Source organism: Homo sapiens, chromosome 18 (genome assembly GCF_000001405.40).
Source record: "Homo sapiens chromosome 18, GRCh38.p14 Primary Assembly".
In the NCBI taxonomy this organism is placed as follows: domain Eukaryota; kingdom Metazoa; phylum Chordata; class Mammalia; order Primates; family Hominidae; genus Homo; species Homo sapiens.
The window spans coordinates 14,176,562-14,202,375 of NC_000018.10; the positions used below are offsets into that span (position 1 = coordinate 14,176,562).

General features: G+C 38.9%; 2 pseudogenes across 1 annotated transcript in view; both read left to right on the forward strand.

Annotated features, from left to right (window-relative positions):
- The first annotated feature begins 2,535 nt into the window (after positions 1–2,535).
- ANKRD20A5P (ankyrin repeat domain 20 family member A5, pseudogene) overlaps positions 2,536–25,814 on the forward strand; it is a 47,954-nt pseudogene continuing 24,675 nt past the window's right edge. The window contains exons 1-8 of the transcript NR_040113.1: positions 2,536–3,036; positions 7,091–7,205; positions 7,368–7,541; positions 11,444–11,550; positions 12,615–12,752; positions 15,301–15,356; positions 21,898–21,928; positions 24,571–24,640. The product of NR_040113.1 is annotated as an ankyrin repeat domain 20 family member A5, pseudogene (transcript). The remainder of the gene's footprint in view (positions 3,037–7,090; positions 7,206–7,367; positions 7,542–11,443; positions 11,551–12,614; positions 12,753–15,300; positions 15,357–21,897; positions 21,929–24,570; positions 24,641–25,814) is intronic.
- RNU6-316P (RNA, U6 small nuclear 316, pseudogene) lies at positions 14,139–14,245 on the forward strand (annotated as a pseudogene).

A 25,814-nucleotide genomic window follows, 5' to 3' on the forward strand; every position in this document is an offset into this window, starting at 1 on the left:
AGGCCAGTATCTCTAATATTGATGCAAATATCCTCAACAAAATACCAGCAAATCAAATTCAGCAATACATTAAAAAGATAATTCATCAGGATCAAGTGGGATGTGTCCCTGGGATGCAAGGGTCATTCAACACTCAATGTGATACATCATATCAACCAAATAAACGACAAAACAGTATGATTATGTCAACTGAAACTGAAAAAGCATTTGATGAAATTCAGCATTCCTTCATGTTATAAATCCTCAAAAAACCAGGTACAGAAGAAACATACTGCAACATAATAAAAACCACATGAGAGAGACTCATAGCTAGAATCATATGGAATGGGGGAAAATGGAAAGCTTTTCCTCTAAGATCTGGAACATGATAAGGATGCCCACTGTCACCACTGTTACTTAACATAGTACTGGAAATCCTAGCTAAAGCAATCAGTGCAGCCCCTGATACGGTCCCCAACCAACCCTGCCCCCTGCCACCAGCAGTGTAGCCCCCCCCCCCCCATAGCGCACCCAACACACCCAAACTGCCCCCTCTCCCCGCACCGTGGGCATTGCAGCACCCCATAGCGCCCTCAACCCGAAACCCCCCCACCCGCACCCCCGAGCAGTGCAGCCCTGGATAGCACCCTTAACCCACCTCACTGCTGCCGGCAATACAGTCTGGGATAGTGCCCCCAACTAGCAGGCCTAGCGGTTTTCTCTCATCCAATCAGAACATGAAGTCCAGGAACCTGGCTTGCATAACCTCAGTATATAAAACATGCTAAGGGGGAATTGCGCCATTGCAGGCTGTTGTGCCTCAGCGTTCCCAACCCCTCCGTTCGCACCTTAAAGAAGGCGAAAGCGGAGTCCCCCGCCACACGCTGGACGCTGGAGGCTGGATCCTGTGGCACCAGGGCTTGGCTCTGCATAGTGTGTGGCGGCGATGGAGACAGGCGGCTGGCAGCGAGAGCTGCTTCTTGCCTGGATACAGGAAGGGAAAGAGGAGGCACCTACCACAGGCTGGAGGCTAGAGTCTGTGGGACTGCGGCTGGCCTCGCTGGCTCGCCTCGCTGCGGTGGGTGGCAGCAGCGGACACTGCAGCCGGCCAGAGCGTAGAAAGGCGATTGGGTAGGTGCGCTATCCGGGGCTATACTGCCCGAGGCCGGGGGCCGGTAGGGGTGTTATTCCGGGCGTCACTACTTTAGGTGTGCTATGCCGGGCTGCGCTGCCCGCAGCAGCGGTGGGGGCGGGTTGGGGGCACTATCCTGGGCTGTATTGCCAGCAGCAGTAGGGCTGGTTGGGGGCCCTATTGTGTGCTACACTGCCCGCCACAGGGGACGGGTTAGGGCCGCTACTGTGGTTACACTGCCGGCGGCGCCGGGGTGGGGGGATTGGTCGGGGTGCTGACTGGGGTGGGGGGTGGTTTGGGGGCTGCACCGCCCGCGGCGGGGGACTTGTTGGGGGCGCTATCTGGGGCTGCAATGCCCCCCGCAGGGGATAGGTTAGGGGCCTCCGGTGGTACACTGCAGGTGGGGGGGGCGGGAAAGGGGGAGTACAGGGAGGTGATTGGACGGGGTGGTTTCGGGCGCTATCGCGGGCCGGACTGCTCATGATAGAGGGGGGCGTTGGGTGCTCTATTGGGGGCTACACTGCCAGCGGCAAGGGGCAGTTTGGGGGCGATACCCCACCGGTGGCAGGTGGGGAGGTGTGGTGGGTTGTGGACATCATTAGGGGGCTGTACTGTGGTCAGTGGGAGCGAGTTAGGGGAGCTATCAGCTGCTGCACTGCCTGTGGCGGGGGTCAGGTTTGGTGCGCTATCGGGACCATATTCTCGGTAGTGGCATACGGGTTAGGGGAGCTGTCGGGGGCTAAGCTGTCCACGGGGGACTGCGGGTTGGGTGCGCTATCCAGGGCATCATACCCCGCGGCTGGGGGATGGTTGGGGGTGCTATCCGCTATCTGGGACGGCACTGCCCATCGTGGGGAGCGGGTTGGGGGCCTTAAGGATCCTTGGCTGCACTATTCACACGGCGGGGATCAGGTTGCAGTGCTTTCTGGGGCGTCACTGCCCGCGGCGGGGGGGTTGGTTGGGGGTCCAATCCGTGGCTGCATGGCCCACGGCAGGGGGCAGGTTGGGGGAGTTATCTGGTGCTGCAACGTCTGAGGCGGGGACGGGTTGGGGGCGCTATTGGGTTTCTACACTGCAGCTGTGAGGGGAGGGTGTTAGGGGCGCTATCCCGGGTCCAACAGCTGGCGGCGGGTTAGGGGCGCTATCAGGGGGTGCCCTGCAGGTGGCGGCAGAGGTTTCAGCAACACCAGTGGCCTACAAAGAAGGAGCCTTCCTCCTCTCCCCAGACTCCAGACTCTAGAGGGCGACCTCCTCCTGCTCCTGCTCCTGGAGCGCAGCGAGCGCACAGCGTTTCCGCAGGAATCCTGAGAATGGCAAGGCCCCCATACCCGCGGTGGTTCCCAGGCCCGCCCCCTCTCGCAGCTGCAGCCCCACCTGCCAGCGCGTGCCACCTCCGAGCGACTTCCGGGACCCGGGCGGCCACCGCGGTGCAGGCGCGCGCCCAACGGCTTTGCGAGGCTCACTCGGTCTGAGAGGTCGGAGGCTGCGAGTGTCGCTGCTGAAGGCTGTGGTGGACTGGGCTGGATCGCGGATTTTGGATTAGATAATAGATTTGGGATCGCGGATTGGGGGTTGGATCGCGGATTTGGGGTTGGATCGGGGATTTGGGGTTGGATAGGGGATTTGGGGCTGGGTCGGCGGGGGCGTGGGGGGAGGTGAAAAGGTAACAGGGAGCTGCCCCCTCTCAAGAGCCGGTAGTTGGGAGTCTGAGAAGTCACCACCATGAAGTTGTTCGGCTTCAGGAGCCGCAGGGGCCAGACGGTCCTGGGCTCCATAGACCACCTCTACACGGGTTCCGGGTACCGAATCCGGTACTCGGAACTGCAGAAGATCCACAAGGCAGCTGTCAAGGGCGACGCTGCGGAGATGGAGCGCTGTCTGGCGCGCAGGAGCGGAGACCTTGACGCCCTGGACAAGCAGCACAGGTAGCGAGGGCTCAGCCCGGGGTGGCAGGGGGTCCCCAGGTCCGGCTTTCTGGCAGCCCCTGGGACGGGGGCCTTGGAGGTCGCCGGGCACCCTCTGAGCGGCGGAGCCAAACGGACCCTCAGCTGTTTTCCATCCCTCATAATTCCCTGGCTGGAGCAGTTGGTGGAGAATTTGAGTGATTTAACTCACAAAGTTAAGCATATACGGTGTTGATAATTTTAACGTACACGTTTAAAACATGGTTTATATACATTATAGGAGGTGCCTAATGAGAGAACTCATTCCCCTATCAAAAATGCCGTGAGTTATTTTCAGTAGGCGAAAAGTTCTCAGATAAAACTGTCCGTTTTACATCCGTATCCCCCTGTGTAGGTAGGTTCTTTACTGAAGGTTCTTAGAGAGAAACTTGGAAGTGGGAGGTGGGTTCTGTGTTCTTGAATGGGAAGACACATTTTCCTCAGAATGTGAGCTCTTTCTGTGTTTATCAATTTTACATAGACAGAATGAAAATATCAAGGTTTTAACATTTTTGTATGACACCTGCTGTCTTTCACTATTGTGATGACATTTAAAAAAATTTCATAATGGAGTGAAAAAACACTTGCTGCTCTAGATATCAAAATGTGCTATTAATTTCTACAATTAATTGTTTACTAACAGCTGAAAAGACAAACGCATAGAACAGAATAGGCAACCCAGAAACACTGAAATTATGTAAGATATACGTAAGGATTAATGAGTAGGAAAGGATGAATTATTAATGAAAAAATGTCTGCTGTTTGAAGAAAACTAATGAAATTTTATGTCACAAACATGAGTTCCTGATGGAATACAGATTGAAATTTTTACATATGAAAATGAGTAAAGTACCGGAAGAAAACACAAACGCTTATTTTACAGGTACACTTTATGTTCACAAAAGCCTTCCTAAGAATGACCTCATAAGAAGACATTCTGAAGGTTGATTTAGCAAACTAAAAATTAAAACTGCCTGTGTTTCAGAAAAAAAAATAACAAAAGAGAGCTTACTTGAAAAATATTAACTATATTATATATATATATATTCAGATGAAAAGTGTGTTTTCATTTTAGAGGGAATTCATTATATTCTTTTTCTTTTTTTTTTTTTTTTTTTGAGTGAGAGTCTCACTTCTTTGCCCAGGCTGGTGTCCAATGGCACAGTCTTGGCTCACTGCAACCTCTGCCTCCCGGGTTCAAGCAATTCTCCTCGCTCAGCCTCCCAAGTAGCTGGGGTTACAGGCAGGTGCCAGCATGCCTGGCTAATTTTTCTATTTTTAGTAGCGAGGGGTTTCACCATGTTGGCCAGGCTGATCTTGAACTCCTGAGCTCAAGTGATCTGCCTGCCTCGGCCTCCCAAAGTGCTTGGATTACAGACATGAGCTACCATGCCCAGCCTATATTGTTTATTATATATCATATGATATATATATATTGCTGATACATATACCATATATATTATTACAGATATAATCTGTTATATATATATCAGTTATATATACACATTAGATGAAAAGTTGTATGTATATATACACATTAGATGAAAAGTACATTTTCATTTTACAGGGAATTCTTTCAAATCAAATCATCAAAAACTCTAAAATGGGCAAAGTACTTTTTTCCAGATCTGCAAGTTATTTGTGTACATAGCAAAAAGTCCTTCGCATTTCTGGTATAAGAATTTAAATTAAAGGAGGAATGAAAGTTTTCTATCCACAATATTTGCGAGGACGTTTTGTACTCCTGCTTAAAGTTTAAGTTGCTGATTACTTTTCAAATAGATAATTTGGTGGTAAGTACTACATTTAAAAAATATGTATGCTCTTTACCCATCAATTCCATTATACTAAAACACCCTTAGGAAATAAAGATACATGCACTTTATTTTTCACAGCACTTATTTTAAAAAGAACCCATAGAATGGATCCTATAAATAAATTTCAGTTGCATCCATAGGATGGAATAATATGTGACCATTGAAGGTGGCAATAGATACAGAAGTATATTGATGTGCGAAGATGTATTTTGTTATAGCTAGTGAGGAAAAAAAATCAATTAAATTATACATACACACAAACATACTATGGTCTTGTTTTAGCAAAAAATATGTACAAAATATAAAATTTGTAATTTCTGAGCATTTGTATTTTAAGTAAAGTTCCTTTTTCTTACCTGTGATTGCTGCAGTGAACATGTACAAAACTTCTAGTAAAGTTTATTAATAAAGGAATAATCCTCGGGAAGAGAGGAATATGAATCTTACAGTATTAAAAATAATTTCTCACTTTCTATTTTTTATCATTATTGTGTGTATTGTTATCTTCTTTGAACTTTTAGCCTCTTCAGAAGTAAAAAGGGAATGTTTTTATCTGTTTCCAGATTTTATTATCTATATATTTTATATGTACATATGTTTTTCTTATATATTCATTCAATTTATGCAAACAATGATAGATTATTTCATTTTAATTGTATTCTTTAAAAATAAAAATAACATAAATAATTACTATTGCAAAAATATTGCTTTATAGGAGTTATTTAAAAATATTGAACTCCCCAACTGTATTTATCCATTCTTTCATTCCATTTATTCATCAAACATAACCTGAGTACCTGTTATGTAGCAGACATATTCTACTATCTCTCAGGACCCTTCTATCCTTAAAAACTTCATGTTTACCTGCCCTGCCTGCACAAGTTGAGAGATTTAAAATAGGAATATTGGGACTTAATCTCCTTGAAACTTTGTCTCCCACCTTTCAAACAAAAGCATTTCTGAAGTTAGAAAATAGTAGAAGATAACCTTTAACTGCCCATTCAAAAGTTTATCAGTCTTAAATACTAATATTAATCATTGGAAAGTCTTATTTGCATATATTCTGTAAGTATAAATATTGAATAAAATGAGCCATATGTATTCATTTGAATCATGAGTTTCCTTTGGCTTCAGTTTGTTTGAAAATCAAGGAATTAATTTGTTTAAAAAATGCATTATTGTTATTTCAGTGCTCTATCCCCATAGTACCTTTAAGAACTAAAATGTATTTACATGCCAGTTGTATGCCTAGAACTGCCCTAGACCTGCTGAGTATACCATATTCTACTTAATGTAAGGTCTCATGGATTGTGTGATGCCCCGCTATTTTATATATCAATAAGATAATTTTTAAAATGCTACCAATTATAGTTATAATAATATGTGTCATTCCAATGTCAGAAGTATTAAAATGTGACCTACTCTTTAAGCCATCCTGCAAAGTAGGTATAATTGTATCTTTTACCTAATTAAAATGTTTTTGTTAAGTAGTAGTAATAGTAACAATTATAATATCTGGCTGGGTGCAGTGGCTCACACCTGTAATCCCAGAATTTTGGGAGGCTGAGGTGAGAGGATTGCTTGATGCCAGGAGTTTGAGACCATCCTGGGCAACAAAGTGAGATTCTTACTCTACAAAAATTTTTAAATAAATAGCTGGGCATGCTGGTGCACATCTGTAGTGCCAGCTACTCAGGAGGCTGGGGATGGAAGATCGCTTGAGCCTAGGAGTTCCAGGCTGCATTGAGCTATAGTTACATCATTGCACTCCAGCCTGGGCAAAAGAGTGAGACTTAGTCTCAAAAAATAAAAATCTTACAATTATTGAGTTATTGTAGGAACTATTCTAAATACATAGCTTCTCATTTAAGCATCATGATGGTGTCCTATGAGATAGCTACTATTGTCCTCTTTCTTAATGAGGAAGTTGAGACACAGAAAGGCTAAGCAATAGTTGGTAAGTGACAGGGTTTAAAGAAGGACTCAAGCCCTAGTTGAACTGAATCCAAAGACTGAGCTGTTTCTATTCAAATAGGCTGCTGTTTTCATTAAGGCAGTGAGCAATAAGAGCTAGTAAATATTGTACTTTCTTCAAAAAAATTAAGTGTTTGTTTTGAAGGCAGAGGAAAAACATGCTATTCAGTTTTTAATTACATGAATGATTGTATGTTTTGAGATGTTGCACTACAGTTTCCTAAAAAGTCCTGTTACTCTCGTAGAACTGCTCTACATTTGGCCTGTGCCAGTGGCCATGTGAAAGTGGTCACTCTCCTGGTTAACAGAAAATGCCAGATTGATATCTATGACAAAGAAAATAGAACGCCTTTGATACAGGTATATTAGAGCCAACTCTTTTAGCATGACATGGATTTGATTTGCATATATAGAATTAAAATAAATTGATCTCATTTAAATATAACTAGTTGGTGAAACCTGTGGAATGTGTATTTTGAATTCTTGGAATTTACATTCTGTTTCTTGGTCTAACACGGACAGGCTGTCCATTGCCAGGAAGAGGCTTGTGCCGTTATTCTGCTGGAACATGGTGCCAATCCAAACCTTAAGGATATCTACGGCAACACTGCTCTCCATTATGCTGTGTATAGTGAGAGCACCTCACTGGCAGAAAAACTGCTTTTCCATGGTGAAAATATTGAAGCACTGGACAAGGTATAGATCAATCAACTTTCTTTCCAAAATATTTGTTTTAACATTGACATAGGTAAGGGTCAATTTTTTATATTTGGAAGCTCAACCATTCCCTGAATGCAAATGCAAATAATTTTGAAATAATTGTCTAAGATTTTATTTTAAATATTGATACTTTTAAAGGAGCATTAAAGGGTACAGCTTTATAAAACGCACTTTGGAAAATATTTGTGAATTTGTTAAAGGTAAAACCTTTTCAACTTTTTTTCTATGCAGGGTTATCTTTCCTTTTTTTCCCCGTAATTAGCGTAAAACAACACAGGAAAGAAAATATGCCCTGGAAATAGGCTTTATCTTAAAACTCAAACAAAACTAAAGCAACTTACAATAAGTGGACATGTTGCTGCTGCTGATAATTTTCTGAAAAACTGATGTATCATCTCTCAGTGGCACAAGGCTTAAGAGGGAAAAATGGGAAGGGAAAAGGAGAGCAATCAGAAATATGCAGGTCACTTGGAAATTAGGTAATGAGGGAAAATGCTATGAAGAGTTTTTTTTTTCTCTTAGTTTGTTGTTGTTCCAGTTTATGTGTTGAGACAAGGCACTCCTTAGCTTTGGGTCTAATAATTTTTTGTTTGAAAATGAGAGTGAGTTGAAACTCGCCTAGAGATGAATTTTAGGAAGACTTTGAGGAAACCAGATTGGCAGTGAATATGTGGTGGTGAAGTGAGAAACACTTCAGCAGAAGGTGGAACAAATTATTAACTGACTTATTGCCCATCCTGGCAGAAACAGCCACTTAGATAAGAGTCTAAAGACTCCTCTCAAACCTAGAATGTCTTGGTGGGAAGGTGGGAGATAAGGAGCTTGTAAATAGCAAAATCAAGTGGGATTTTGAGTTTACTTGTTTGTGTTCTACCCATACCCAGGAAACTTAACTGGAGCTTTAATAAATGACACTATCTCTTACTCTTTTCTCTTTTTGGCCACATGTCCAACTGATAAAGGGAACTAGCCATGCGGGTGAGAGATGAGACTGAAGTGATTGCTGCACTAATTCTCAGAATTGTGCATTACAGTGACCTGAGGACATTTTGTTAAAAATCTACAAATGTAGGCTTTCCCCTGAGGATTTTGATGTAATAGACCTTATAAGGCCTGAACATTTTTAAAAACATTTTCTTGAAGCTGGGCACAGTGACATGTTCCTGTAGTCCCAGGTTGAGCCTGAGTTTAAGTTCAGCTTGAGCAACATAGTGAGACTCTTGCCTCTAACAACAATAACACCAAAAAAAACAAAAAACAAAAAACAAAAAAAAAAACTCTCAAGTTTCGGATACACTCCTGATTAAGAACCCCAGAACAGATAAGTGCAACATATAATTTCTGTATCTCAAAAACGTAAGAAATCTCTAGAAGAATTGGCGTTTGATAGGTGCTACTTCCTTCGAAGTTCTCCTTTTCAGTAATATTAGCCTGACTTATCTGTCTTTCTCTACATCAGTGACTAGGAAGTGAAAGGAAATATTACTGGTAATATCTCTCAGCTTACAGAATAACACCTTTCCTTCCCAACATTAATCATTCACTGACATTCAGAGAGTTTTTAGAAATTTGCTTATGGGTAATCTTTCAATAAGTAGAGGCTGACCCTTTCATGATTTGATGTCCCTTTGTCACCATGCACGTGATTACGTGTCAACAAATGTTCATTACAAGTTGGGCTTTCTCAATTAGAATAGTAGCAAATCCTGAACTATTTTTTTTAGTTGAAGTTGTATTATGAACTAGCTCAGTATGTTTGTTAAGTTTATAGAGCTTTAGCATAACCAAAATGTCAGTTTTAAACACTGAAGTCCATGGAGTTAATAAAAATACAGATATGAATTCTTTTAATAATTTAGTTTTAGCAGTCCTATGAACCAATTATCTATTTGGTTAACAATCTGGGAAAATTATATACAAATATATTTTAAATGAATAAATGTTGGAAAAATTCTTGAAGCAGGTATTATGAGTCTTTTTAAGCAATTTTTATTATATATGAGAGCCTGAGTTTTTGGTAAAACATATGATACTAGAGAAAGAAAATATTTTACATGCAAATACTTGGATTATACACAACCATTTAGTAACACATTAATAGCGAATATAAAAACACAAGGGCTCTATTCTAATGTGGTACACAGATTTGTTTGTTTGCCTCTATAAGTTGAATCAACATGTAAAATTTAGAAGACTGGTGTAGAAATCTGGACTTCAGGCTTATTCTAAAAAATCAAATCTGGTGTCCCCTGAGTTTCTATCACTGTTTGGTCTGCTGTGCAGAGGTTGCCCCTTTAGAGAAGGCGTGTATTCTCCAGTTTGCTGCTGTGCCCACCTTAGTACTTCCTTTACTCAGGCAACCTTCCTTTGTGCTTGTAAGTATTTGAGTTTACAACTCCTATCTTATAGTATATTTTGATAAAGATTTCAAGGTTTTTAAGTCAGCGTGTATTTGTTATAATATATAGTCTATAGAGTATATAAATCCCTCAGTTATGAAGTTGAATTTTGGAATTTAGAAGTTTTTGAAACTCTTTTCTTTATATATACCACAAATAATTATCTGCCCCTAAGAATGCCTAGAAGACTTTTTAGGTTATTCCTGGTTATAGTTGGATAATTTATGAATATTGCAGACATTACATCTTTCTCCTCAGCGCTCTTCCTTAGAAATGCAAGTGACTTACTGGCTTTTATTATGCCAGAAATAATTCATATGGATCAGTATGAGAACTTTTATTGATAGGCCATTATGTTTTTATTTCTGATTTATATTTTGTCTAAAATAAAAAATAATTTTAAGTAGCCCTTTAAGTGGAAGCCAATAAAAATGGATTTAAAAAGTAGAGCTGCCCTGGAGTCCCGGGATTACCATTATAATTGAGAATAGTATTTCTTACTGAGTTTTGGTTTTTTAAATATTTGTTCTTAAGTTTTTTAAACCTATTTCTCTTACACAGAACATACTGAGCTTTCTAACAGTAAAGATAAAAATCTATTCTCTTGTATTAGGGAAAAAACCCATGGACTATCTAATAATAAGGAAAATAAGTGCATTTGAAGCCAATCTCTCTTAATTCAAAGCTCATTTCCATAGTGACCCATTTGGAGCAGGAGTGCCTGACATTGACATCTGGGATCCTGACACCATTGATAGAAGTGAATCAAGCAAGTTTGTGCCACCCAGAAGAAACCTCCACCTGCATTGGGAAGCTCTGGCAACTGTACCCCTAAAACTCTTAATTCCTCAAATGTTAATGTTTGCCACAAATAGTATTGTCAAATGGGGATTAGGTACAATTCAAGAGATTTCTTGATTATTGGACATAACATACAGTTTTATAATACTTCTCAAATGCAGATGGTCATGGAGTCCTTCTCTTGGGGTATAATACTTCTGGTAAAGCAAATATTCTTTGGAATATAGTTTAAGAAACACTGCTTTAGTGAGAATAATTTAGATCATTAATTTATGTAAAAAACTTAAAATGTTTGCTACTATGTCTTAGGGTTTTGGGGGTATAGAGACAAAAGATACAGACCTTGCCTCAAGAAGCTCTTGGTTTCAGTGGGACACAGTGAAATGATTACAATGTACCATGCTAAGTGCTGTGATCAAAGCAAGGATTCTTGGGACTGGTAAATGTCTAAAGTGAGTTTTGGCAATGACCACAGTTAATCCGGGGAGACAGAGGAGGATTGTTTGCAAGGCAAAGAGCAGCACATCAGAAAGCACAGAGTGAGAAGGAAGGGACTGCTTTTCTTTTACTTCCTTTCTATATTGTATGTTGAAGTTCAAAGCACCTTAGAGAAGATTTTCAGTTCAGTTGAGAAATATGTAATTTTCTGAATTACTAATTTTTTCTGCTGTTTTATAGGACAGTAATACCCCACTTTTATTCGCTATAATTTGCAAGAAAGAGAAAATGGTGGAATTTTTATTGAAAAACAAAGCAAGTACACATGCCGTTGATAGGCTGAGATGGTACAGTAGTTCTTTTTTTTTTTAAATAAAAACTGTGTATTCTAGAGTGGTAACAGTCACTGAAGTCAGAAATATTAATAAGAAGATTAACGTAATTATTGGCATATAGTGAAAAATATCACCATGAATAATCAGATAGATCAGCAAATATTTGGACTGAGTAACATAAAGAACAGTATATAGTAGGATTCATCTTCTCCTAAATATAGAGTGTTTGTTATTTATAATTGGATGTTTTTGGTACTGTAATCTTGTATTAGCTAAAGGGTTTTGTATTAGCTTTATTAAGTTTTTTTGGAGATGCAATCTGGCTCTGTTGCCAGGCTGGAGTACAGTGGTGTGATGGCTCACTGCAACCTCCACCTCTCAGGCTCAAGTGATTCTCCTGCCTCAGCCTTCCAAGTAGCTGGGGCTACAGGTGCACGCCGCCATGCCCAGCTAATTTTTGTATTTTTAGTAGAGATGGGATTTCACCATGTTGGCCAGGATGGTCTCGATCTCTTGACCTCGTGATCTGCTCTCCTTGGCTCCTCAAAGTGCTGGGATTACAGGCATGAGCCACTGCACCTGGCCAGTTTTATTAATTTTTAAAGTGTGGACTTTTAGTTTATGACTACTAGCATTGTCATTATTATTATTGTTGTTGTTGTTGTTGTTGTTTTCAGCCTGCAGATAGCTCTTATCTGACCCCTAGCTGATTTGAATTATATATCAGACTAGGAAAGCAATGGCGAAATCTTCATCTAAATCTTTACCTACTTTAGATAAGTGACCTCAGCACAGTTTCTTGGCCATCAAAGGACTATGAGTTAGCAACTTGTATTATGTCATACCCCAGTGGGACAAGAGGCTTCCTTGTTGTCCTTTTCTTTCAGCCTTGGTGATAATTTACAAAGATGAACACTTGAGCACCCTAGATGCTTATAGACCCAAGCTAGTACATGCAAAATGTTATTATGTCTACACTGACAGGTGGATATTAAATTGGTAAAGTGTATCAAACTAGCTGTTTAAAAAAGTCTCTATTAAAGTTCTTGAGTGGAGTGATTTCTTTGTTATTTTAGAACAGCCCTCATGCTTGCTGTGCACTATGACTCACTGGGTATTGTCAACATCCTTCTTAAGCAAAGTATTAATGTCTTTACTCAAGACATGTGTGGACGAGATGCAGAAGATTACGCTATTTCTTGCCGTTTGACAAAGTAAGTGTTTATGTTAAAAGGCCAGTTAATATTGAATTGAAGTTTAAAATAATTGCAACTATTCCATCTTATACATTAGGTGAGAGTTCCTAGTTTGGTTCAGATAGTTTGAAATAGCAATGAGTTAGTCTACCTTTTAGCCAGAAATCAAGCAGAAATCTAGATTAGTTAGAAGTAGAGTGCAAGATATTTTCAGGATTTTTAAGACCTTTATCCCTAGGGATCTCAATGTTGTTCATTTTATCCTAAGTATAATCCCCATGCATGGGATAAAAAGAGCCACATTTTTTACTTCTTTTCCTTTCTTTTCTTTTCTTTTTTTTTTTTTTTCTTGAAACAAGGTCTCACTCTGTTGCCCTGGCTGCTCTTGAACTCCTGAGCTCAAGTAATCCTCCTGCCTCGGCCTGTCACAGTGCTAGCCACCATGCCTGGCCTGACTTTTCTAATTAGTTATTGGGTCTTGAAATGTCCAATTTAGCAGAAAATCTTGTATTTTCCCCTGGGGCTATCTCCTGTGTCTTCCTTCTTTGAATTTTCCAAGAAGCTAAGGAGTTTCCTAAGTCCAAGGAAGGGAATCTTTCTTTACAAGTCAGAAGAAGGGGGAAAAAGGCCATTCTGATCATTCTGTTGTTTCAATGGACTCATTTCCTGTATTGTTGCCATTGTAACTAGTCCTGCAATCTGATAATGATTGACCTTTGCCACCAGGATGACTTCACTCATTCAGACCCCTCGGTTTTTGTGGTGATTCATACATACAGTTCAAAGCTATGGTGTTTATTAATTTATGTACTTATGCTCAGTCATTGTTCCCTGATGCCAGCACCCTGATCTGGCAGCTAGGCCTCCTAGCTTTACCCACACAAATATTGAGCAAGTTGATCCTCACCCTACACTAAAAACCTTATTTGGAGCCCACATCTTAGCTATACTTAGCCTAGGCATTCATGGTAAGTTATCCTTTGAGACCCGTGTTTGTCTGTTCTTTAACCAACATTAGTTGGGATTGCTCTCAACAGTCAGGGATGTTCAAATAATGTTGCAGGAAAAGATTAGGGTTCCCTTTCCCTTTTGCTATCAGATCTGTACCTTGAGGCTTTTTTACATCCTGTGGAGCAGCTTTGGTTAGATAGCAGAAGGTTCCATGTTATCTTTCCACCGAGTAGTGGGAACCAACTTGCAGTTGGCCCCTCAAGTAATGTGTCTCTATGATAATGAAAATCTGGGCTAATCACAACTCTTCCTGGAGTTTTAAATATATTTTAAAATTCTACCTCACAGGAAGCCATTCAATAAAATTCTCTGAATCTAAAGTAGGTGAGTTGGATTTAACAGAGCTAAGCCTCATCCATGACTCAGGAGTGTCCATGTATCAAACAGGGCTTTGTACTTGTTTCAGCAGCACATATTTTAAAATTGGATCAATACAGAGCAGATAAGCATGGCTGCTGCCTAGGGATGGCACATAAATTCAGAAAGCATTCCATATTTTGCATAGTTCCGGGAAGGTCATTTGACTATTTGTCGAGTAGCTCCAAGGAAGCAGTGTGAGTGAAACCAAAACAGAAGACACCCAATATTGAAATTGTGATTATAACTGTGAAACTACTGATGTAAGGTGATCTCTGAAATGAGAACAGAGCTGAGTAATAAGGGGATGTTACTTGTTGCCGGTACATGTCTTGGAAATGACAAAATGTCAACTTGCATTTCCTTCATGGAACTGAAAAGCAATAAAAGCAGGGTTTTGTCTTGTATGTTAGTTGGAGAGGACCATGGAGATCCAGTGTCCTAGCACAGATCTGCTGGCTCAGAGTTTGAGGAGGTAGAGAAAGAGTGGTAGTTGTCCAAGCCCAGGTTTTGACACCTATTAGTTTTCTGCCCTTGGTGTGATTGATGAGCTCAGTGATGGGAGACAATTAGGTAATCTATTTTAATCAGATGAGTTATGAATTAGGTAAAATGCCCTGAATTACAAGCCACAAAGAATACAACTAATAACCAAAATTAGCACTTAATAACATTTTCTGCAAACTGCAACAATTGAATATTAGAACTTATAGAAAAACACACACCAAGCAATAAAGTTCAAGAATAAATCATTTCATTGCTTTACTATTTCCTGAACATTTAAACATGTAATCTTATTACATCTTCCTAACAACCTACTGAAGTAAGGTAGCAAAATCCTTATTTTTTAGAAGAAATCATGGATCCTAAGAGAAGCAACTTGTCTGGAAACAAAATATCGATTAGTTACAGAGTGAGGACTTATTCTGAGTGCAGGACATGTTACATGATGTCCAGCTAACTAGAGTTCATTTACTGAGCTATGCTTCCTCCATTTATGAGTACTTCACTTTTTTTCTTCTTTAATTATAAGCTTAATAAGCTTGTAAGGTTTAAAAATTTGAAGTGTATGGGACATTAAAATTCTGATATTAGGTCTGATATTGCCTGAAATGGTTTTAGAACTTAATATGTTTGGTAAATATTTTTTATTTCAGTATTAAAATAGCAATTTTATTTATTACTTTTGTATACATAGAATTCAACAACAAATTTTGGAGCATAAAAAGATGATACTTAAAAATGACAAACCAGGTAAGACTTCTGATAGTGAATTTCTTATTACTCTTGGTGGTCCTACTCTTGATAAGAAAGTAAAAAGTAAGATGTAAGATTAAGGTAGTGTTAATAAAAAAAGACCAGTTTAAAAATATATGTAAATTAAATGTGCATATATGTATATACATTTGTAAATTATTTTTTAAAATTTAACTTCTTTAGTTTGAAATTCAGATTTATTTAAGAAGGTAGTTGTAGCTAACTTATAATCTCAAACATTATTGCCTGAAAAAATTCCTTTATTTAATTATGATCCCTAAAATCCTATATAATATTTTTGCATAAATAAGAAAAAAGATTTTTAAGTTAGTATGTTGTATGTTTCCTCTATAGTCACATTATAACAAATTGGACTTGTTATACAAATGGATCTTCTATTTCATTTTTATAATAAATTGTTTATATTTAGTAAACAAATAATTACAGTTGACCCATGAATAATGTGGGGGTGAGGGACTCTGATCCCTGTGCAGTTGAAAATCTGAGTATAACTTTTGATTTCTTCACCTTAGCTACTAATAGCCCACCACTGACTGGGAGCCTTCCTGATAACATAAACAGTTGATGGACACCTATTTTGTTTGTGCTGCATTATTATATACTGTGTTCTTGCAATAAAGTAAGCTAGAGAAATGAAGCTGTTAGAAAGAAAATCATCAGGAATGATATATTGACTTTTCATAAAGCATAAGTAGATCCTGACAAAGGTCTTCAAGATCTTCAGGTTGATTAGCCTGAGGAGGAAGAGGAGAGGTGGATCTTGCTGTCTCTGGGTTGCAGAGGCAGAAAAACATCAGCATATAAGTGAATCGCTGCAGTTGAAACCCTTGCTGTTGAAGGGCGAACTGTATTACATATTGATTTGTGTCACTAAGGAAGTAACTATCTTTAGAACCAGGAACTCAGCAATTCCTTTCTGGTACCATAAATAAATGGCAATAAGAACTGTAAAACTGAACCAGCATGCACCCATACAAATAAGAGATTATTTTTTGAGGATAGCTACTGAGCACAGAAGACAGAAAAGCAATTCCTTCATGAGAAGCACAAGTTATATTACACATTCTTACACAAGCAAAATGGTTTTATCTGTCATAGTTTGTACACATACACACATGCACATATACACATACATATGTGCGCACGCATGTGCACACAGACACCAAGTTAAAAGTCCTGCTGATTCTTAATGACCAAATCCAACTGTTCGTGGGGAGTGGCAGATAACACTTCCTACAGTTTGGATGCAATTCTTTTGACTTTTTGACTTGTTCTGTAATGAACTGCCTTTAATGGGTGAATCATGTTTTTAGTTTTATAAGAAACAAGAAGATTAGAAGCAAGTAAACAGGAACTCTATGATCAGTAGTAGACTATTATAGTATATTCAATAGTCATATGTTTTTCTCCAGTTATACAATTTACTTGAATGATGCACAATTAATCAATTATTATTATTATAGGAGATGGGGTCTCTCTATGTTGCCTAGGCTAGAATAAAGTGTCTATTCATTGGTGCAAACATAGCTCACTGTAGCCTTGAACTCCTGGGCTCAAGCAGTCCTCCTACCTCATCTTCCTGAGTAGCTGGGACTACAGTTTTGTATGGTTATATCTGGCCTGATACACAGTTGTTTATTTATTTATTTTTGATACAGTGTTTCCCTCTCTTCCCTCTGTTCCCTCTGTTGCTCTGCACTGGAGTGCAGTGGTGCCATCTTGGCTCACTGCAACTTCTGCTTCCTGGCCTTAAATGATCCTTTCACCTTTCGCCTTAGCCTCCCAAGTAGCTGGGACTCCAGGCATGCACCACCACACTCGGCTAATTTTCTTTTTAAGGTTTTTTTGTTTTTTCTTTTGTTTAATAGATGAGATCTCACTATATTGCCCAGGCTGGTCTGGAACTTCTGGGCTCAAGTGATCCTCCTGCCTCAGCCTCCCAAAATGCTGGGATTTACAAGTGTGAGCCACTGCACCTGACCTGCACAATTATTATAAAAAGGAATTAAGCCCAGTTGAGTTGCAGAAAATTGACCACCTTTTCATTATTTTTTCTAGAAACATTCATATTGTAGAACATATTGTCAATCACCCAGATTCTCTATTTTTTATTCGGTTAAAATAGGATTGCTGCTTATTCCACATTATTTTCTGACATTATTGTGTCATTTATTCCTTTTATGGCTTTATTCATGTGGATAGATATAGAAATACAAGAATCTCCAAGTCAAATATCAAGGGAAAAAAAGAAAAGAAAAACAGTTTAGGGAAAATTATTCTGTGAAATAGCCATCTGATTAGTTACATATATCACATCAACTTAATACAAATCTTACACAATGTATTTGTGTCAAGGTTTCCCAAGACCACCCCAGGTTTGGTGGTTCACTAGAAGGACTCACAGGACTCAGCAAATAGTCATACTCAGATCTTTAATTGATAACAAGAAAGGGGACAAGCAAAATTAGTAGAGGAATAAGGTGCTTGTGGTCAATTCTGGAGGAAACCAGGCACAAGCCTCCAGGAGTTCTCTCCTGTGGAGTGCCCGGGATCTGCTTAATTCTCCCAGGCTCACATTTTGACAACATATGTGCAGTGATGTCTACCAGTACCAGAGTCTCATTAGAGATGAAGTATCCAAATTTTTCTGTGGAAATTATTCTCCCTTACATGTACCCAAATTCCAGACTCTTACAAGGAAAACAGATGTTCAGAGTAACCACACTGTTTCTATAAACACTTTAGACACAGTGAGCCACTCTTCTCAGGGAATGGTGGAAACCCTCCCAATTCCAATTTCCTTAACACCAGCCAAGGGCCAGCCTTGCATGCAGGCCTTTCTAAGGATGGCAGTCTCTTGCCTGCTATATGAAATCTTTTCTGCACAATGCTTATAGCCCCAATTTAATTTTTAGTGTTGTTTTAAAATTTTATTTTAATAACACATAATATTATAAGATAAGGTAACTTGGTACTAATTTCTGTTGTATGATCCATCTTAAGTTGCAATGCTGGTTACTTTTTGACTTTTGGTGACTAACAGGTATTTGTATATAAGTTACCATAGCAATGTTAGGTAATTATAATCTGTCCTTTTTATCTCATTAAGCTTTCAGTAAAATTGTTAAATTAAATAAGCATAATAATTTGAGTTAAAATTAGAATAAAAATTGTATTTTATTTTAATTACATGAATAATCTAGTTTTCATATTGTGCTAAATCCCTGTTTAGAATTATGAAATAAGATAAAATATTCAATCATTTTTATCAATATTTTCTTACCTAAGCATGCAATTAAATTTATTTATTTTATATATTTCATATACTTCAATTTGAGAACTATAATGACCACATGCTGTTACTTTGGTCTTCAATGATCTCTAATTTTTAGGGTCACTGTGTCTTGCTTAAATATATCATCATAACAGGTTCAGTGAATATCTTTATTTTTATTTATTTATTAATTTTTTGAGACAGAGTTTTGCTCTGTTGCCCAGGCTGCAGTGCAATGACAGAATCTCGGCTCACTGCCACCTCCCCCTCCCGGGTTCAAGCAATTCTCCTGCCTCAGCCTCCCAAGTACCTGGGACTACAGGCATGCACCACCATGCCCAGCTAATCTTTTGTATTTAGTAGAGACGGGATTTCACCATGTTGGTCAGGCTGGTCTGGAACTCCTGACCTCAGGTGATCCACCCACCTCGGCCTCCCAAAGTGCTAGGATTACAGGCATGAGCCACTGCACCCGGCCATATTTTTTTATTATTATTATTTTAATTATTGTTCTGGAGATCCTGGGATGCATAAACAGTGAATATCTTTTTTTTTTTTTCTTTGAGATGGAGTTTCACTGTCTCCCAGGCTGGAGTGCAGTGGTGCGATTTTGGTTAACCACAATCTCTGCCTTCTAGGCTCAAGTGATTCTCCTGCCTCAGCCTCCCAAGTAGCTGAAATTACAGGTGCCTGCCACCTTGCCCAGCTAATTTTTGTATTTAGTAGAGGTGAGGTTTTGCCAAGTTGGCCAGGCTGGTCTTGAACTGCCGACCTCAGGTGATCCACCCGCCTATGCCTCCCAAAGTGCTGAGGTTACGGGCATGAGCCACTGAGCCCAGCTGTGAATATCTTTTTTAAATCAATAACTTTATTTCTTAGAGCAGTTTTAGGTTCACAGCAAAATTGAGAGGAAGGTACAGAGATTTCATATATCCCATGCCTCCAACACACGCATAGCCTCCCCCATTATTAGTATTTTCCACCAGAGTGTGGTACATTTGTTACAACTGATGAACTTACATTGCCACATTATAATCACTCAAAGTTCATAGTTTACATCAGGCTTCACTCTTGATGCTGTACATTCTGTGAATTTGGACAAATGTATAATGACATGACATGTATCTATTACTGTTATATTATTGACAGAACAGTTTCACTGCCCTAAAAATTCTCTATGCTATGCCTGTTCATCTCTCCCTTTCTCCCTAGCCACTTGTGGCAGCCATTGATCTTTACTCTGTCTTCATAGTTTTACTTTTTTCAGAAGAGTCATATAGTTGGGATAATACTGTGGATATCTTTTTGAATAGTTAAAAAAATTAAAGCTCCATGGCAATTGAAGGTAGCCATTTAAGATGTTCTTTGTCCTTTTGTCTTTCTTTTGCTTTTTTATCATTGTAAAGAATGATATATGCTGATGAGGTATGCTTTACATACTTAGAAAACATGATTTGTATAGATATTTGGCACATAATGGAAAGGGTTGAGGAAAAGGACACCACGCCGTACCACACAGCACAAACTGGAGCATCTTGCTCTGTGAGGTGGGTCCAGATACAGTGTCTAGCAATGGAAGGGGACAAGCGCAAGGGGTTGTACTTTATAAAACTGGAATCACAAAGTCTTTCATACTTACCTTCGGTTGGAAATAAGACCAGGCAGTGAATGCTATAGGTAAATACATATGTTCCTCACTGATCCTTTTCCTTTGAGGATGAGGTTGAAAACAGCCTGTATTATGATGACATGACTCACCTACAACTAGATTCTGTTATGAGGGATGGCAAGGGAGTTTTGCTTTATGTGAGGTGAAAAAGAATTTTTTTCTCCTACTAGGGAGAATGGCAAGCATTGGAACATTCTGGTAGTAAAAGGGCATTGATAGTTTTCTTTCTATATATTTTTCACATGAGATAATACTGCCCGGCAGCCTGCCACACCTCCCCAGTGTTTCTTCAGCTTATCTCTGAATGTGGATAAGCTCTTAAAGGAGTGATCTTTCCAGTGGTTCTTTCTGTGGGAGGTAAAATGGCAGGTGCACATGGGCCTTGTTATATGTAGGGCAGAGCAAATAGCTACAACTAAGGAAACCACCCAGCACCTTCCCCAGAAGAGTGTTAGCCAGAGTAACACAGTGATCTCTCTTGAGCTCTTCTCCACTGGCAGCTGGAAAGTTTTTGCAAGGATTCCTGTTTCTGGTCTGATTCCTATGTTTTGCTGGCTTCTGGTGATAGGATGTTTTATCCTAAACTGAACAGTTTGAACTGAAGAGCTAGAGAGGCTGTGTTGTGTTATAACAAAATAAGTGCAGTAGTTCCCCCTTAATTGTGGGAGATACATTCCAAGACCCCCAGTGGATGCAAGAAACCACGAATAGTACTGAATCACAAACTGTTTTTTCCTATACATACATATCTATGATAAAGTTTAATTTATAAATTAAGTCTGATGTAATCTGAAGATAGGGTGGGAGAATTGAATTGTGCCATCAGCAGGAATGATTGCTTGCTTGTTGGTGGGGAAAAACTCTCCACACATTTGGTCACAGAAGCCTTCTTTGTTGATGATTGTTGCTGTGGCGTGAGAGCAGAGAAAAACATGTCAAGTATGTCTTTCTGCACATATAGTGGATAAGGGGTACTACTGTATCCTCTAACTGCTCCTCATATTTTGGTCCAGAAATCATGCTCTTTGACACTGTTGACTCATCACACCTGTTCTGCTAACAATAACATTTTTACTCAGTCTCATAGGGTTTGGCTAGGATGACTTGTATACTGCAGTTCACTTGTAGATACCAAATTTTAATAAATTTATTCTTCTTTGCATCTAATAAATACAAAGGGAAGAGTTCTTACTGCATTAATTACCTACCAATAGGTAAAATTAATGTTAATTCTAATAAGGTCCCAGGCATTCTCCCAAAGGAATTCTTTGTAACAAAGCATCAGTCTTATGCTTTTAAAAAACAAACCAAAACAAAACCACCACCACCACCACCAACAACAAAAACAGGATCTAAAACATACACACAAGTGTGCACAATTTTTTTTTATGAAGGTAGTGTCTTACTATGTTTCCCAAGCTGGTCTCAAACTTCTAGATTCCTCAAGTGATCCTCCTGCCTCATCCTCCCAAGTAGTTTGGATTGCAGGCATGCATCACCGTGCATTCTTATGCTTTTAATATTTTGTACATTTATTATTGATTTAAAATGCATTCTACCTTTTTCTTTAATAGATGTTGGAAGTTCTGATGAATCTGCAGTCAGGTAGGACTTTATAGATTTAAAAAATTATGTTAACTAAGAAAATATAGATGGAAGAAACTAATATCTGTTGAGTGTTGTATTCTGGGCTAGACATCCTAATATGTTCTATGCATTTATCATCTCATAAAACCATCACAACAGTGTTCCTATAACCTACTGTTTATTAAATAAACAACTATGGATTAGAGCAGTTGATTAATTGCCTTATAATCTCATAATTAACAAAGTAGCTGGCCTACAGTTTGACCGTCAGCCTGCCTGGCTTCCAAATCCCTTCTCTTGCTCCTCAGCATAGATTGATAGACATCCGTGCAGCACTTGGATCAAGGTATAGGTCTGAATCAGATTAATCAGATTCCTTAATTTAATTAATGTCTAAATTAATGAGAGTTTAAATACCTTAAATACCTTAAACTCTCATTTAAGGTTATTGTTAGAATGTGGTTAGTCGAAGAGTTTGTCCTAATAAATTTGACAATTTCAGTGGTAACCAGTATCTTATTTTTACCATCAAAGCTTTAGGGCAGATCTGACTTAGCTTTGGCCATAGGGCTGTAAGTTTTACAAAAGCAAGTTTAGGCAAGTCTTAGAGAGAAATTATTTGACTTCCCAGTTTGGTTTTCCATTTAGCAAGTATTTCTGCCTGCTTCCATAATACTTTTTTTAGTCTTGTTTCTTTTTCCATGACTTTTCTGTAATCTTGTCTTGATTTTTTAGAACTTTCTTCTCTGCTTTTCTTGCTGTTTCTTTTGTTCTATTATTTTTTCAAATTCTGCTGGGTATGTATTCCCAGTTTTCCTACAGACAGAATCAAGAGGACATAGAATTACAGAATTTTAAGGAATCTTAGAATGAATTAAAATACTTTCTAGTATTTTTACCTGTATTGAACATTCTGGTCAAGTGATTCTCTAGATAGAGAATGTGAGGCTCAAAGAGATTAGGATGCTTTTTTTTTAGACATAGGAATGGGCAGAAATGAGATTTGAACTCATTTTAAGGCCCAGTACTCTTCCTTCTTTTTATATCCTATTTGCATGTGCTTTAATAATACAAATGGGAGTGAGTCCGGTGCACCCAGTGGATAGTATGAGAATGGAATTAGCTGGTGAACCCAATGGAAGTAGATAAGAATGGAATGAGCAGGGAAAGGCCATGTTTGAAGAGAAACAACACTGGATTGGATAGGAGTATGGACTCTTCAATAAGAGATCAAAATATTGGAGTTTATGACAAGTTTGATAAAGAGTTCAAGGGAGCTCTAAAAAGTTTGCTCCTTTTTTTTTAAATCAAGGACTGACAAACCTGAAGAATTTTACTGAAAGATGCTAAAACATTTTGAGACAGTGGGAGGAGTGTCTACAGCAGATAGAAATGTGGTGTCATCTACTTCCATCCTGACTTTCAGAGGGGTGGCTTAGAGCCCTTGGAGTACTAAGGGGCTGGAGATTGCTGGACTACATAGATGTGTGGCCCAGGACAGGTGGCCTCTTCACCTCTGCCTCTGTTCCTGATTCACTGATGTCATTCCCATGTCCATGTAGGCTGGGTCAGGGGCATGATTGGCTGGCAAATCAGTCATGGAGTTCAGTTGGGTAGTTGGTAGTATGTCTATGCTGGGTGCAGGTGATGGAGACTCCAGTTAGCTTGTTTTTCAGGAGCAGGGATATAGAGGGCTCCTACTCCTGGTCATTTGAGGCCATCCTTTCAGGAATCTGTGCTTTCATAGGCTGAAGATTTGAAGATTGGAGACTTCTGTGGAGCCCTGCAGAAGTGGAATCTGGAAGTGGGAGCCCATAGGAAGATAGATACTTAGATAGTACTTAGGAAAATAGAGGTACAACTACCAGGACTCTGTCTTTCTGGCAGTCTCTCTCCTTGGGTGTCTGAGTGCCTATGAAAATTTTTAAGGGCTTGCTAGTTTATGTGGACCTGAATAAAGTAGGACTTATAGAGTGAAAATAATGGGATTTTATAATTATTAATATTTTAATCTTTCTGGGAAAAGTATTCTCAATAAGAACATACACCTTTGTTATTTGATTTTTGTACATGTAGCTTTCATACCTTTCAAATATTGCATGGGATTTCCTGTACCGATTTAGGGCAAAGGAAAGCAATAGGACATTCCTAAGTGGGTTCCATGTTGAGGAATCAAGACTGCCATTTCAAAGTGATACAGATTAGTCTTTTAACCAGAGATAGATCATGGAAAAGAGACAGTGGATCTTTCTACCTTGTTTTAGGTCATCAGTTTTCTTCCAGTTTAGGTAACAAAATTTATGTCATCCATTAATTGAGTTTTAAGTTCAGCTTCAGGACAGATAATCTGTGAGGGCAAATTATTGTCAGGCTCTGCCAATATATTGACTGTCACTATTTGTTATGAAGCTGAAGGTTAGTTTTCATTGAATATTTTATAGATTTAGACAGGTGGAGGCAGAAATTGGTAATTAAAATCTATTTTTAGAACAGAGGACATATTTTAATTATATCAAGAATCATAATTTAATATATAGATCACTGAACTTTCCCCAGATTATTCTTTCCTTTTTTGAGGGGAAAGCTGGATATAAACTGGCAGTTAAAAAATTGTAAAGAAATCAACTTGCTCATTTTCATTGTGTATTTTTGCTCTCAAGCATTTTCCATGAACTGTGTGTGGATTCATTGTCTGCATTGGATGACGAACTCTTGAGTGTTGCTGCTAAGGTAAAGTGGTCTCTTGTAAAATTAATTTTCTCACTCTGAATGTAGTTTTGCATAGTACTTACTTTTCAAACTTAGCAGTGGTTTACCTATCATTGTTTTATGGTGGTAATGGAAAGTGGGTCAGAGAAAAACATATATGTGGCTAGTTGACTGAAAAAATTTGTTTAACTTTGGTAACTAACAAAGATTGATAAGTACTGTGACAGGGTAGGAGCTGAAAAAAATGAACTGGAAAATAAGTAGTGAGAGGAAAATCACATTAGGAAGTGCTTTCTCCAATAGAGGAAATATGAAATTTGATTAAGCTTTATTTGGATAAATACTAATACTTTGACTTTTAAATCATATGAGTGTGACTTTCATAATATTTATGCCTGTATAACTCTTCAGTGGATCAAATTATTTGTAGTAATCATGGAATTCTCCTGGTAACTTTTAGTTGCAAAAAGGTTCAGCACATAGCATACAGCTTTTGTTCTTGGAAACTTATTATTTTGGTATCACATAGTTTTTAGGAGAGATTGTTTCTCTACTTATATTATTGGTTCTGTAGTGAGACTAAAATAATATTAAAAATTGTAGAAAAATAGCTGAGTGTGGTGGTGTACACCTGTAGTCCCTGCTACTTGGGAGTTTGATGCAGGAAGATTGCTTGAGCCCAGGAATTTGAGAACAGCCTGGGCAACATAACAAGACTGTATCTGATTTAAAAATATAAATTGTGGAAACATAGACATTTAAATTTATGTTCTCAAAATTTGTATTGCAAAGGGATTTTTGTGTGTTTTATGAGTTGTCCATGAAGAGTTCATATAAAACACTTCATCTAATTGAATAACATGTATTTTGCTGCAAATAACCAGTTCTAGAAGCAGAGACTCTTAATACCAATATGGTAAGACTTTATCATCATAATTTTGTCATTGTAGTTTATTTAAAATATTTACTTGGCTGGGTGTGGTGGCTCACACCTGTAATCCCAGCCCTTTTGGAGGCTGAGGTGGGTAGATCACCTGAGGTCAGGAGTTCAAGATCAGCCTGGCCAACGTGATGAAACCCTGTCTCTAAAAAAAAAAAAAAAGAAAAAAAAAAAAGCACAAAAATTAACCAGGTGTGATGGTGCATGCCTGTAATCCCAGCTGCTCAGGAGGCCACGGTGGGAGAATTGCTTGAA